At 46.5% G+C, this 14,942-nt stretch overlaps 1 protein-coding gene across 2 annotated transcripts in view, besides 2 other annotated features; it reads right to left on the bottom strand.

Annotated features, from left to right (window-relative positions):
• Window positions 1-14,942, bottom strand: part of DLGAP2 (DLG associated protein 2) — a 970,849-nt gene that overhangs the window by 563,542 nt on the left and 392,365 nt on the right. The window contains exon 4 of one of the 2 annotated variants that reach the window (NR_073397.2): window positions 7,158-7,636. The exons of the other annotated variant lie outside the window; for it this stretch is intronic. The gene's annotated coding sequence lies outside the window, so the exon portion shown is untranslated. Of the gene's footprint in view, window positions 1-7,157; window positions 7,637-14,942 lie in introns of those variants that run through there. 2 annotated transcript variants of the gene reach the window in all.
• Window positions 11,460-12,091: an enhancer, noted in NCBI's record as "OCT4-NANOG-H3K27ac hESC enhancer chr8:1082844-1083475 (GRCh37/hg19 assembly coordinates)". NCBI's record gives its function as "activates a minimal SCP1, AML or CMV promoter by ChIP-STARR-seq in naive H9 embryonic stem cells {active_cell/tissue: H9 hESC(naive)}" and the evidence as "EXISTENCE:reporter gene assay evidence [ECO:0000049][PMID:30033119]".
• Window positions 11,632-11,926: a silencer, noted in NCBI's record as "tiled region #700; HepG2 Repressive non-DNase unmatched - State 22:ReprW". NCBI's record gives its function as "represses a minimal TATA promoter and a strong SV40 promoter by Sharpr-MPRA in HepG2 cells {active_cell/tissue: HepG2}" and the evidence as "EXISTENCE:reporter gene assay evidence [ECO:0000049][PMID:27701403]".

The raw sequence follows: 14,942 nt of genomic DNA, 5'->3' as shown, positions 1-14,942 counted from the left end.
GCGGTTTGACTGTGGGTACAGGCCGTCTGCGGTTTGACTGTGGGTACAGGCCGTCTGTGGTTTGACTGTTCATACAGGCCGTCTGCGGTCTGACTGTGGGTACAGGCCGTCTGCGGTTTGGTTGTGCATACAGGCCGTCTGTGGTTTGACTGTGGGTACAGGCCGTCTGCGGTTTGACTGTGCGCTGTGTGTTTCCTGGATGGACCCTAGAGCATGGGCTACTTCAGCCAAAAGTAAAACTGCAGACAGGGCCTGTATTCACAGCACACAGGAAGGAAAAGCAGAAGCAGAGATTAATATTTACCTAGACGCAACTTCTCCGTATTTGTGGGTGGCAAAGGGACCAGGATGGAAAGAGCGTTTATTTCCTGTAGCTTCTGGAGGTGGTCGAAAGGATGGAGACAGACAAAGCAAGAATCTTTTGTTTGCAACGTCCAGTCAAAGCAGGACGCAGACTGGGGAGGAGCATTCGGAAGCCTCAAAGAAACAAGAAAGCTCACTGTCATCATTGTCTTTACCGTCTTCACAGCTTCTGGATTTCTTACAGCATTCTTTCTAAAGCACAATTCCACTAAACTTTAGGACGTGGCCTCCCTGGCCCATAAACAGTAATTTTACCTCCTGATTTGTTTTTCTCTTTAATCATCCACTCAAATGCTCCACCGCCTTCTCCATCTGTGTCCAGATAGTGTGAGTTTATATTCATTATCTTCCTAAGTGCCTTTCCAGCACAGGGCGGTGAAAACGCGCCCGCTGGAAGCCATTCCCCTCCTTTCTTTTTGCCTCATCTTTATTCTTCCGTGACTCCCCTCATTAATTTACTCGATATCATTCCTCACATTCTGAGCACAGGGGAAAGGTATGCAATGGAGGAAACAAGCGGTGCTGTGGGGAAATAACAGGACTAAGATGCGCTTTGTGGGGAATATGGTCTTAACTCCAGGTATTCCAAAATTCCTCCTAATTATCTTGCCTTCCCTTATCTGTTATGCCATTCAAATAACACACGTGCATCTAGTCCTCTGTTATGTTGCTAGCTGAGCTAGCAATGGAGACAGAAAGCTGCATCTGCACAGACCCTCAGTGAGGGGCACAGGTGCAGGTCAGGAGGGTCCAGCACTGCACAGAAGGGAAAGCAACAATGCCTGCACACAGAGGTGCTGGTGACTGTTGGGGAGGTTGGGTTTGAAAGAACAGAGAACAAGGTGAGGGCACCCAGTGACTTAGGGTGGCCAGCGTGTAGCATCCGTGGGCCAAATAGTGGGGAGCGTGGGTGAGGGAAGGAGAGGCCCGTTCTGAAGCCTCTCAGATGCCGCCTGCAGAACTGCACTTCCCTCCCAGGCAGCCTGGAGAGCCCGGGGCTGAGTCCTGAGCGCTGACCAGATGTAACTTGAAGCACCTCACGGAAATCCACCACACCCGTGGGTTCCTGTTCCAGTTCCTGAAACATAGTGCTATCACAACTCAGTAAATATCCCGTCTGTAGCTTTTTGGAAAGAAACCGTGGAACCAAAAACTGAAAGTTTGATAGAGATATTAAGGGGAGATACTCAGAGTGGTGAAACAGTAAACTAAAAATTTGAATGCAGAGATTTTAGAGAAATTCTCCTTATTGCCCATTTCAGACAGACACCCTGCTTAGGATGTCTATGTTTCAGTGCGTCATTCACGTCAGTTTGTGGAACTTTCTGTCCTTTCCAGCACATTGTATGTGTTTTCATTTTACCCTTGTCATATAGTAACTTTATACAGAGAACAGCAGCAGAGACTGGGAGAGACTGTTTCCCCCAATTTATAAAGGAGAGAACCCTGGCTGGAGGGTGGCCGCTGCGCTAACATCAAGCAGCTGGTGGCCCCGCTGTGGCCGGCAGTCCCACACCCTGAGGCCCCTGCAGAGGGGATGCTGTCCTGCCAGCTTCCTATAAATCCAATCTCAGGAAAAATGGCCTCTATCCTGTGTAGTTCTCCCTGGGAAAGTCTCTATGAGAACATGACGAGCAATTCTGAAAGGAAGGGGATACGACCCCTCTTGGCTTTTCGGAAACCTGGGTGTGCCCTGCCCACCTGCTGCTCCCCACGCCATGATCCCAGCATCTCCTCCTCCCGCCAGGTCTCTCCTGAAGGGCTGGCTTTCCTTGCTTTTCAATCCTCTGCCTAACCTCCCTCCCCTCACCCTCCCCATGCCTAGAACTGTCCTGACTCCAATAATGCAGGGATGACAATGGCAGCCCCGTCCTGCCCTAGCAAAGCCGTTCCAACGGCCAACGGAACAGCTGTTACCACTTCACCGAAGTCGCCGCACTTCCCAAAACCCTGTGACTCCAGGGCTTACAGAACAAGCATGAATTGAGACCTGCCCTTTTCAGCTCTTCACGTCAGAAATGCCATGTTTTATCTTCTTATGGCACTTTTACAAAAGATGTTCTATACTAGACCCAAATAATTCACAAATATCTATCGAAGCCATAAGGGAACACTGGCTTCCCTTCTAATCTCTGTGTGCGAACACTGCATCTAGCTTCTTTCTTGCAAATCTCTACGTTCAAGGGATATGCTAAGCCTATCAACTCATTTTCTCTAACATTTAAAATTATGAGGCATGTGATGCTCAGAACTCATGGCTTCTGTGTCGTACTTTTTTTCTTCAGAAAAAAATTAACTGTATAACCCTTCATTCTGTTGGTGAACCACCTTATGATGCATAATTTTATTATACAATTAATACACACAAAAAACTGTATAGCAACCTCTCAGAACCTTAAAGATCTTCAAATCCTTAAATAAAATGCAAATTTACTTTCCAAAGATTTCTTAGGAAAAACGATTGTCTAAAATGGCAATTTCATAGCAAAAAAAAAAACTTATATACGTAGGCAGAATATGGACACTTCTGAATCATCTAAAAAGCAGAAAAATACCTTGAGATGTATTTCTCCAAGTCATTCTTAAACAAAAAATAAGCTTACTTATTTGCAAATTTTTCCATATACAATCTTTATAGCATGCTTAAAAATTATAATGAGTTCATTTCAGAAATTTTTGAAAATATTTTTCAAAATTTAGAGAAACAAAGAAAGCATCTAAAATCTAAACATAAGCATCAAGCTTTTGTATAAATATCATTAGTATTCAGCCTTGAGTCATTTTTTTCAGTCATTTTTATATGTTAAGCACTTTACTCATGTTATTAAATATTCTTGAAGACTATGATTTTTGTTGCCAAGTTTTGGGTACATAATTCATTTTCTCATTCCTCTATGTTAGAACCTGAAGGTTGTTTCCAAATTTTTGCTAATACTTACCCATGTCTTTGAGTATGTCCACAGGAAAAATATTCTAGAATTGGTGTAATCTCTTATAAAGGTTATGGCTGTCTGAGTTCCCATTAATAATATAAGAAAGATCCTATTTGACCACAACACCAACATTCTGGATTACATTTTTCTTTTTTTAATAATATAGGCTCTCTTCTAACCATCAGCTGTGTGGAATTCAAGAGTTCTGATTCACGTGCCCGTGAGTTTTTAAGCATAAAATAATGCTTGAAATGCTTTATCAAGCATAAAATAAATCAGGTCCAATTGGGTTTCTTTAGCCCAAATTCAATTTTGTTGGGGAATCCAGTTACAGAATTTAAAAATAAGTTAATTTAAAAAGTATTCAACTTTCAACGCTCAGTTGAAACGAACACCTTTCTCTAATCTCAGTTGAACACTCCCTGTCACTCCCACATCTGCTTTGGAAGTCATGACCCAGCCCCCACGTAAAAGCCCCTCAGTCCCTCCCCAGGAGAAAGCTGCCTTTTCCAGGCAGCACGGCCTCCCCATCATTACTGTCCACAGGACACAGCAGAGTCCTGAACTCAACAAAGACAGACCCAAGGAAACCAAACCACATTCCTGCCACACCTTCAATGAAGAAGACAGAGAACTTATCATTTTTATCTATTTTTGAGACAGAGTCTTGCCCTGTCACCCAGGCTGGAGTGCAGTGGCATAATCTCTGCTCACTGCAACCTCCACCCCCCGGTTCAAGCGATTTTTCTGCCGATTCTCCTGCCTTGGCCTCTGAGTAGCTGGGATTACAGGCATATGCCACCACGCCTAGCTAATTTTTGTATTTTTAGTAGAGACAGGGTTTCACCCTGTTGGCCAGGCTGGTCTCTGAACTCCTGATCTCAAGTGATCTGCCCACCTCAGCCTCCCAAAGTGCTGGGATTACAGGTATGAGTCATTGTGCCCGGCCAAGGCAGGGAATTTAAAAAGAACAAGGTGGCAAGAACTACAGGAGGACAACCTAGGAAGTCAGCTCCCAGCCTGGCTGAGTGAGGGAAGGGAGGGTCAGGGCCAGAGCCCTATGGGGCCTCTGATAAGTCAGCTCCCAGCCCGGCTGAGTGAGGGAAAGGAGGATGAGGGCCAGAGCCCCAGGAGGCCTCTGAGCAGGTGCATGGGACCCAGGGGCCTCCGAAGGGCACCAGGGCTGGTTCTGGGAGTTGCTGGGACAGACCACTGGTAGGGGAACAAGCACCCTAGGGCATGAGGCATGGAGGAGACTGCAAAGAGGACGGAGCAGGTGTGTGTGCCCTGTTCTGCCTTCCAGATGGAAGGGAGGCCAGAGGGAAGGCGTGGGACCATCCAGAGCCTCCCAAGGAGCAGAGGTGCTGTCACCCACCCGGCAACACTTCATCCAGGAATGCCCTCGGCAGAGCGGGACGAGCGCTGAGGCCCGGAGTTTCATGTCACCCTGGTCGCACCTCCCCGCTACGACATGGGCCTGGCCAAGTGCTGTATCTGCTCTGAATCTAGGTTTCCTTGTAATGGAAATGGGAGATGATTCTTCTTACTGGGCTGATGGCCACACTGTTATGATGCTTACATAGAAAAAAAGCACCATTTAAAATTTGAAATGTTATGAAAATGTGCCATGTTCCTGCACAGTGGAGAGGGCAGCAAGGCTGGCTCAGGCCCCAGAATATCCAAGTTCAAGCCTCGCTCTGCCAAATACCAGCCGTGTGACCTCAGGGAAATCCCCTCACTTCCCCCCGATTTCCCTCACCTTAACTGCAGCCAGTAATAGAACCCTACGCCACAGACCCCTTATGAGAATTAAAAAAGTTAATACACTTACGGTGCTGAGAGAGCCCCTGGGACCTGTCAGACCCCAAACCCTGTGCCAGGCACCATCCTCACTCCCTCTCCAAGAAGGTCCTGAAATAACAGGGGCCTGTCGGGTGCCACAGTTCTAGGTGGCCTTACTGTTCCCTTGATAAAGTGTCTCCCTGGGCTTCATGTTAATTAGTGACCTGTGGGCTTCCTACTTGCCACGGACTGAATGTTTGTACCCTCAAGATTCACACAGTGAAATCTTAACCCCCAAGGTGATGGCTTTGGGAGGTGACTAGGTTGAGAGGGTGGGGCTCCTGCAAATGGGATTAGCGCCGAGGGAGGCCCCTTGCTCCACGTGAGGACACATGAGAGGGTGTTATCTGTGAGCCAGGACACCATCATCCATAGATTCCACACCTGCTGCACCTTGATCACGGACTTGCAGCCTGCAGAACTGTGAGAAGGAAATGTCTGCTGACAAGGCTGCCCAGCCTATGGTATTGCATCCCTGCAGCCTCAGCTGAGACAGTGCTTACTGACCTGATTTTGTAAGATAAGCACAGCTGTTGGCAGAGAACACAGGGGCAACGAGGGGCAGCCATTGGTGGCTGGGAGCTCCCCCCGCCCTGTGCACACCCCAGTCTCACAGGCAGCCCAGCAGGCCACCCATGCCCACATCCCCCCAGCCAGGCCGCAGCGGCCGGCAGCAGGCGCTCAGGAAACAGTCATCACCCGAGGAAACACCTGAACAACCAGGACTTCCAGAGCAATTTCAAAAGTTCCTTCAACTAGAACAGTGCGTAACCAGCCAGGGGGCTGAGGCAGGGTGAACGTTTCCCACCAGCCGCACAGGCCAGAACCAGTAAATAAACAGGAAGAGTTTCCCACCAGCCGCACAGGCCAGGACAAGTAAATAAACAGGAGGAGTCTCCCACCAGCCGCACAGGCCAGGACTAGTAAATAAACAGGAAGAGTTTCCCACCAGCCGCACAGGCCAGGACTAGTAAATAAACAGGAAGAGTTTCCCACCAGCTGCACAGGTCAGGACAAGTAAATAAACAAGAAGAATTTCCCACCAGCCGCACAGGCCAGGACTAGTAAATAAACAGGAAGAGAAGGCACCGCTGCAGACTGAAACTTGGCTTCAAAAAATATTTTTGCAGACCTGAGAGGGAGGCCAGCAACATTCCATTTAAAGACGGAATTCGTTGGGAATGTCACTCGGCACTTTATTCGCACTTGAACTTCTCAGTGTCTTCTCGTGTTTCTAATGGGCTGCCTGTGTCCCTCTCTGCTTGCCAGCCCACCCCAGCCTGCTCTATTCAAAGCATTTTCAGGGCCCCGTGGACCTGAGGGCCGATGGCCATGAGTGAGGCCACGAGTGAGGCAGATCAGAAAGCACAGGTTCAGCAGGGGAGAAGCCAGATCTGTGGAGAAATCCCTCGCAGTGGGGGAAGCATGCAGGGCAGGCAGGGCCTGCAGAGCTTCCAGCCCCCTGTGAGGTCTTCATCGGCATGCAGACAGGACACCCAGGCCTCCCCAAGTGGCTCCCAGGGGAAACCTAGGCTCCTGCGATGCTTAGAGAACCAACAGGGGACTCAGGGAGCATTGAGGAAAGCCACCCAGGAGCTGCGCTTTCCAAAGCTGAGCACCAGTGAGCTGGGAGACACCCCGTTTCCCCTCAAATCCATTCTCAGGCTCGCTCTGCTGGATTCATGGCATCAAGGGATTAAGAGCTGCCATCCCGGTGTCAGCGGGGCAGTGTGGATGTGAAAAGCTTCCATCGAGAGAGGGGGCCGGGCGCCGTGGCTCACGCCTGTAATCCTACATGATGGGAGGCTGAGGCGGGTGGATTGCTTGAGGCCAGGAGTTTGTGACCAGCATGGCGGCCCATGCCTGCAGTCCCAGCTACCCCAGGGGGTGAAGCACTAGAACTGCTTGAACCCCGGAGGCAGAGATTGCAGTGAGCTGAGGTCACGCCACTGCACTCCAGCCTGGGCAAGAGTTAGACTCTGTCTTAAAAGAAAAAAAATAAAAAGAGATAGCTGGGAACCAGGTTGTAACTGTTTATTTCCAAAAACACATTTTTTTAATGAAAAATATTTGATTAGGGAAGTTTATATAGTAGAAAGAGCAAGGCTGTAAGTTGCAGCCCATGTTCTTATTTCAGATACCAATCGTTATAGAAAGACAGTGACCCGGGCTGTGAATACTAGAAACATTCAAACAGGGAGTTTTACTAATGCATTTTTTTCTGAGTCAAATATAACTTTAGGAATCACCCATCGTAGTCAATTAAACATTTTCGCTCCAATGCATAGAGTAAGAAAATGGTGTGGGCCGGCTTCAGGTGAGGCTCAGACAGCGAGAGGCTCCATGCAGCAATGGGACAGTGTCCTGCAGCCGCACCGATAGCGGGACATCAGCTCGGGGCAGCTTCTGTGGTTTGGTGGGTGCTATGGACTGAATTACGCACACCCCAAATCCATATTTGGTGCACCAGTCCAATAGGACTATAGTTTGGAGACGGCCTAGGAAGAAACAATCCAGGTTAAATGAGGTTTTGAGTGAACCCTAATTCAATAGGACTGGTGTCTTTGTAACAAGGGGAACAGATGCCAGGGCTCTCCCCTACTCATGCACAGAGGGGAGGCCCCGGCACACAGGGAGGAGGCCACAAGGAGGAGGCCACGCTGCAAGCTGGGAAGAGAGGCCTCAGGAGAAACCAACCAGGCTATGGGCCCCTTGTCCTCGACTGCCAGCCTCCAGAACTGCAAGAACATAAGTTCCTGTTGTTTGAGCCATTCTGGGATCATGGCCTGAGCTAGCACAGTGGCTGGGCACCATCTTGAGAGGCAGGATTACAGTTTTTCAGACATACTACACACAAGTTGAAGCAGCACAAACAGAATACCTCCAGCACTCAACAGGTGCTATCAAATGTCTTTGTTCTGAGCATTTACTCTTCACCATTTAAGATCACTACATTTAAAAATGGTCATTCTGGAGAGCAGCCAGGCCTGGTCTTCTAGGCGCACCTGCACCACCAACACGCCCCGTGTGCTCCTGCTCCCTGGCCTCCATGTTTGCCAGCCTCAAGAGCTGGCTTCGGGTGGTTCCTCACTCTCTTCAGGCACGAAGCTGGGGGAATCCACATTCAATTTGAAGAGCATAGAGAAAGACGTTTTTACTGAGCATAGTCATGTGTTCAGAGTCATGGGTCTGCTGTGCACCAGGCACTAGATCTGAGTGCCCTATGTTGTCTACACACCAGGCACCGTACTTGGTGCTAGCCACGTTGTCTGCCGTGGCCCTCACGAAGGAAGCTTTGATTATGCAGAGCCAGCCTGACGATGAGGAGGGCATCCACCCCGGCCTGTATGGGGAGCCAGAGAGCTGTCCAGATCTGCTGCTGCAGGGAAGCTGTGTTCCCACTCCCTTCTCTCCCACGAGCATCTGCTGTGGACAGGCTGCGGGGCATCTGAGTTACAAGCCCACTTCATGGCTGATGGGAGGGGAGTTTTTTTTTACGAGGTTTGAAGTCTATTCGCTGGTAAATGAGAGGGCTGGAAATTGAGGCCAGGTGTGAGGTCAACCCAACTCATGTGCCTAAGGGAGCAGAACCCAGGGGTCTTCAAAGGCAGGTGTCCCGCCCCTTGGGACAGTGCAATACCAGATTCCTCACTACTTCTACCTGGCAGCTTCCCCTGGAAGCAAGAGGAAGGCAAGGGGAATCTCAAATCCCTTGCGTGAATTTTTCATGAGCAGGTTGGGAAAAATATCTTAAGCACAGGAAGAGAATGAGCTTCTTGACTTGAATAAAGTTTGATTTTTGGAGGATCTGGCTCATTGATTCTGTGCTCTGTGGCCAAGAGGTAAACTGTAAAGCAGTTTAAATCTCGTTTCTTAACTTCGAAAAATGATTGCTTGTGATTACACGACGGGCAACCTTCCCTGCGATGATTCCTGCCAATCCCCCGTGCTCAGCAGAGATCTATTGTTTTGTCATCATGAACATCTCCTTCGTGTTTTTCTACCAGAAATATCACCAGCTCATACTGTCCACAAAAGTGGCCATCCTCTGCATCGGTAAGCTTAGGGATCCATGGAGAGGTTTGGCTTTTTTCAAACGAAGGCTTAGCGCCCAACCTGCAGTTCCTGGAAAGCACACTTTCTGACATGCCGCAAGGCAGTGAGGAAGGGATCACCTTGAGAATGTCGTTCCCCTTAGGTGTGCCACGCTCCGTCTCCTGAAAGACCGCATGCCCCTTTTCAGAGTCTAGCGCTTCTTAAGATATGGACAAAAAAAAAAAAAAAAAAAAAAAACCCACAAAAAAACCCTTCTAGGATCCAAGGTGAGAAATCTCTAAGTAACTATCTCTGCGTGGTTCCTAAAACCATTTCCGCCTCTCCACTGACGCACCCTCAAAGGCTCTTTCCCCTAAGACGAGATGCACTCAGACAGCCGCCTGGGTCCTTAGCTTTGCTTTTGTTTTTATGAAACTGTGTCCTGAAGCTGCTTTTTAATTCTTGAAAATGGATTTGGGGACAAAGGTTTTCCTTAGGCAGCTTGGAAAATACTAACTGACATGTATTTGTTAAAAAGCAAAAACAAAACAAAAAACCCCACAATGTTATATAGGGTAAGTGCCTATACTTGTAATTTTATGTAACCAATAGCAGCAAAAAAACTGTCAAATCCCAGAAAGCTTTACAGGTTAAGGTGTTAGAGTCCTTGGGGAGGGACACCTTTCAGTGACAAGAATGGAGGAAATAGAAAATAAAGAATAGAATCATCTTATCGGAGTCTCTTTAGCACTAAAAATCATATTCAAAGTTTAATCAATAGAGTTTGATATTGATTCTATTGATATCCCCACCCAAATCTCATCTTGTATGGTAACCCCCAAGTGTTTAGGGAGAGACCTGGCGGGAGGGGATTGGATCACGGAGGGAGGTCTCCCCCACACTGTTCCCATGATAGTGAGTTCTCAGGAGATCTGGTTTATATTATAAATGGTGTTTTTTTCTGTGCTCTCACATGCTCTCCCTCGCCTGCCGCCACGTAATATGGGCCTGCTTCTCCTTCCACCATGAATAAGTTTCCTGAGGCCTCCCCAGCCCTGCTGAACTGTGAGTCAGTTAAACCTCTTTCCTTTATAAATTACCCATTCTCAGGCAGTTCTTTATAGCAGTGTGAAAACGAACTTATACAAGTTTATTCAATTTGAAATCATGTTTTAGATTACATTGCTTACATTATTAATATGATTAATGTAAGTTCTATCATTAATTAATGCAAATTCCTGGCTATTACTAAAACTCAAAAAATAACACATGCTTACAAGGTGGCAGAAAAAAAGGAATTGCTTATACACTGTTGGTGGGAGTGTAAATTACTCAACCATTGTGGAAGACAGAGTGGTGATGCCTCAAAGACCTAAAAACAGAACTACCATTGCACCAAGCAATCCCATGACTGGGTATAAACCCAAAGGAATATACATCGTTCTACCACTAAGACACATGCACGTTCATTGCAGCACTATTCACAAGAGCAAAAACATGGAATCAACCTAAATGCCATCAATGGTAGACTGGATTAAGAAAATGTGGTACATGTATACCATGGAATACTATGCAGCCATAAAAAGAACAAGATCATGTCCTTGGCAGGAACACAGATGGAACTGGAGGCCATTATCCTCAGTGAACTAATGGAGAGAAAACAAATGCCACATGTTCTGTCTTATAAGTGGGAGCTAAATGATGAGAACTCATGGATGCATAAAGGGGACCAACATCCACAGGGGCCTGTGGGAGGTGGAGGGGGGAGGAGGGGGAGGAGTAGGAAAAGTAACTAATGGGTACTGGGCTTAATATCTGGATAAGGAAACAATTTGTATCACAAACCCCCATGACACACATTTACCTATGTAACAAACCTGCACTTGTACCACTGAACTTAAAAAAAAAAAGGGTTAATCAATTCCCAATACGGATTTTATGATTGTATAAAACAACTGAGTGATGTTCATTACAAATTAAATACTACTGTGTTATCTGAAATCCAAAAATCAAAGTCTGGTTTTAGATTACTCTTAATTCTATTGCTTACATTCATATGATTAATATTAATATGAATTCCTCACATTTGTGATGCTGGCTAAACTAGAATTTATGCTGTAATAAAATCTGAATAATATTTATTTTGACTTGGTGAGCAAAGTGTTTGTGTCCAGGCCCTTCTTAACTCCAAACCAGCTTTATAATTTGGTCAAAATAGTCACAGTTTCAGAAATCTATTTCTGATAAAGTTGGACTTAATTGTTTTCCAGAAGACATATCTATTACTTATCATTCTAAGTCCCTTCTAAAAGCAAAAAATATATATTTTTATTCATATATATTTCTCATGACTCCTATTAATGATCAATATAATTTTATGATAACTTCCTGGTTTTACAGAAAGATGAATTTATTTTTGATGATTTTCTAATCATAATCTTCTGCAGAGAGGTTGAAATGAACTGGAAACCCCCCACTTTCAGGAGCCTGCAAACCCCCAGGCATGGAAGTAAAGGAAAATTCCAAAGTTCTTTTCAGAAAAATGCCAGGTATCTGGCTGGCCCCAGGAGTGCTTAAGTAGCTTGTTAAGAAGGTAATCACCTAAAACAATAGCCAAGGAAGCTAATGCTCCAGAGATGTTTGCTTTCTTCTGGAAACTAAAGGAACGCCTGGAAACTGCCCTTGAACTGTCCTTCACAGGCTCTGACCCCGACTAAGGACCCCACCACACACAGACCCCAGATTAGGGGGAAGTGAAGACACAACTTCAAGGATTGCCCTTTGCTCTAAATTTCTCCCTGAGGGCCTTGGAGAAAGTAAGTCTTTCTAGCGAGTTAACATTTTTCTGTTGACCCCCAAATTTTTAAACAAAGCTTCTCTTCTTTAACCAGTTGCAAATGAGAAGATCTCTGAATCCATCTATGATCCATGAGCCCCAGCGACTGGGCGTCCTGCCCTTCTAAGCTTAAACCAATGTGTGGCCTCCATGGGTTGATTTATGATGTTGCCTGTAGCTTCTGCAACCCTACCTTTAAAAATCCTTGCTATAGCCATCAGGGAGGCCAGGATTAGAGCGGCAGCTGCCTGGTCTCCTTGCCCAGTGCTCTCCAGTAAACGCCTTCTTTACATCACTGCCAAAACTTCGGTGTGAGCATCTGGCTTTACTGTGTTGGGCGAGTGCATGCCAGCTCAGTTCTATATCAAGGTGTACACATATATGCTACAGTAAGTAAATGTTGCCAAGAAAAACTACCAGTGAGTTTTGTATTCACTGCTGCAGATCAGTCTTTTAATTATTTAGTTGATTCTTAACCTTGCACTCCTCTTTTAACCACCCAGGAAAGACAAGTAGCTTAACTGTAATATTACAGAAATTTGTACCTACCAGCTGGTTTTGCTAGTCCCTCACTAACCCATCTCCAGGCAATGCTTCAGGTAGTCTAGTTTTTATCTCAGGCTTTAACATAAACTGATTAACAGAAGAGATTTTGCAATAAAAATCACCAAAAACAAAATAAAGACTCTCTACAGGATTTAAAAGTCATCAAAAACATGGCTTTCTATTTCTACAAATTTATGTCTTTTAAATACGACAGTAGATTTTTACTCTCAAATAAGGTTGGCTTGTTGATTTTGCAATTAACACATATAATGAAAAACTGTCATTCATTAAGAGATCACAGCACTAACCTTTGTGCATTATCTGGGAACACACACACCATCTTATTCTAGTCTGTGCTGACAGTTAAATGCAACCTGTAATCTTTCACAGCTGGTCAAGCTTAAGACACCATCGATCCTCTCTAATTCATAACAGTCACACTTATGAAGATACAAACATTCTAATTAAGGTATCTGTCAATCAAATCCAGTAGAATGGAAGAATGACTCAGCATTGAAAAACGGGACCATTTCCAAGGAGGAAAAAATAACTCAGATGTCCCCAAAAAGCATAGAATTCAAAAGATATTCTGGATAAAACCCCTTCACAAGCTAGAAATACAGGAAATGTCTGTAACACAGCATATCTTACCAGAACCCCAAAGCAAACATCTCACCTAATGTGGAACAGCAGCCGCGTCCGGCAAACATCTCACCTAATGTGGAACAGCACCCATGTTCATTCTCATGAAAGTCACTGTATGGAGCAGGTGTTCGTGTCCCCCTAAATTCACACGGTGAAGCCCTAACCTCCAGTGGGACGGTAAGAGGAGGGTGTGGCCTTTGGGAAGTGATTCGGGTGGGATGAGGTTATGTGGGTGGTGGAGAACCCAAGGTGGGATGAGCCACTTATAAGACGTGAAGAGCCCAGAGCTCCCTCTCTCCCCTACATGAGCACAGAGTGAGAAAGCGCCTCCCGCAAGCCAGGGAGAAGGTTCCCACCAGGAACCCCACCTGCCGGCACGTGGATCTGGAGTATCCAGAACAGATACATGAAGGTGCTGTTTTCAGCCGCCCATCTATGGCAATGTGTTACAGCAGCCTGGGTGACTAAGCCAGTCACTCGTTTTTCCTGAAAGCAGGCACGTGCCCGGCACCCCTGACTCTGAGTGGCTACTAATGGGGCCCCTGAAACCTGGGAAAAGCAGCTGAAAGATCCAGAGAACCGTGTGAAGGTAGAATTACTGCTTTTCTTCTGTTATAAAATGAGTGCATTTTATATTTCCCAAAACATTAAAAAACAAACATGTTTTTTCTCAAAATTAAGGAAAATAATGCGCATCCTTCTAAAGAAAACTGAGTGGCATGAGGAAATGTGTACGGAGTAAGCTGTGCTCTGGGCAACAGTAGGACACAGCCAGGACCGGCCCCTCAGAGCCACCCTTCCCCTCATCAGGGAGGCCCGTCTCCGGTCTCTCAGCCCAGCCGCTGCCGAGCTAGGGGTCATGCTATGAAGAGAGGCCACCCTTCCCCTCATCAGGGAGGCCCATCTCCGGTCTCTCAGCCCAGCCGCTGCAGAGCTGGGGGCGTGCTGTGCCACACTTCCATTTTCCCGCAAAGATGACTGCACCAAACATCAGGCCTCTGGTGCGGTCTGTCTTGGGACGCCCTGCCTGGGAGGAAGAGGCTGGTTGCTGGTTGCTATGGTTACGAAGATGCTGCTGTGCAGCCTCTGGTCCGTGCCACGCTTTACAGCCTCCTGGTAAACACCCAGGGGGGTGTCTCCTTGTCGCCAGGGACCAGTTACAGTTGGGGTTCAGAAAACGCGGCATCTGCTTTTATCTAATGGGTGCATGAGTCACCTAATTGAGCCTCCATCCCTTTTTAGACACAAATTCCTGGCTTATCTCAAGCGTACGGCGGTTCATGCTGACAGGTCCCTTCTGCTCCTGGTTTATCTTGTTGATATTGTTTTACTTTGAATGTCAATCGTCATATCTGTGAGTTGCTTTTTATTACTTTTTTGAATAATAAATGAGAAAAAATAAATACACCCATACAATCACATCTATACCAAAAAACAGAACACTAAACTTCCCATCAATCCAAACATCTCCTTCTCCAAATAACAACTTTCAAATCTAAAGAGGCCAGAGTGCGTTTGTCAATAACGCACCTCACTTCTGGCAGATTAACTGAAGGTCCCTCTGCATCGGACACCACTCTTTGCATCATCTCATATAACTCGCGTGAAGTGTCTGACACGATCCCTTAACTCGCGTGAAGTGTCTGACACGATCCCTTAACCCACGTGAAGTGCCCGACATGATCCCTTAACTTGTGTGAAGTGCCCGACGTGAGCTACACGCGCAGGATCCCTTGACCATG

The sequence above is a fragment of the Homo sapiens genome, chromosome 8 (assembly GCF_000001405.40).
Source record: "Homo sapiens chromosome 8, GRCh38.p14 Primary Assembly".
NCBI classification, from domain to species: Eukaryota; Metazoa; Chordata; class Mammalia; order Primates; family Hominidae; genus Homo; species Homo sapiens.
The sequence above is the reverse complement of the archived record's forward strand: the minus strand, read 5'-3'. Positions and strand labels throughout refer to the sequence as shown.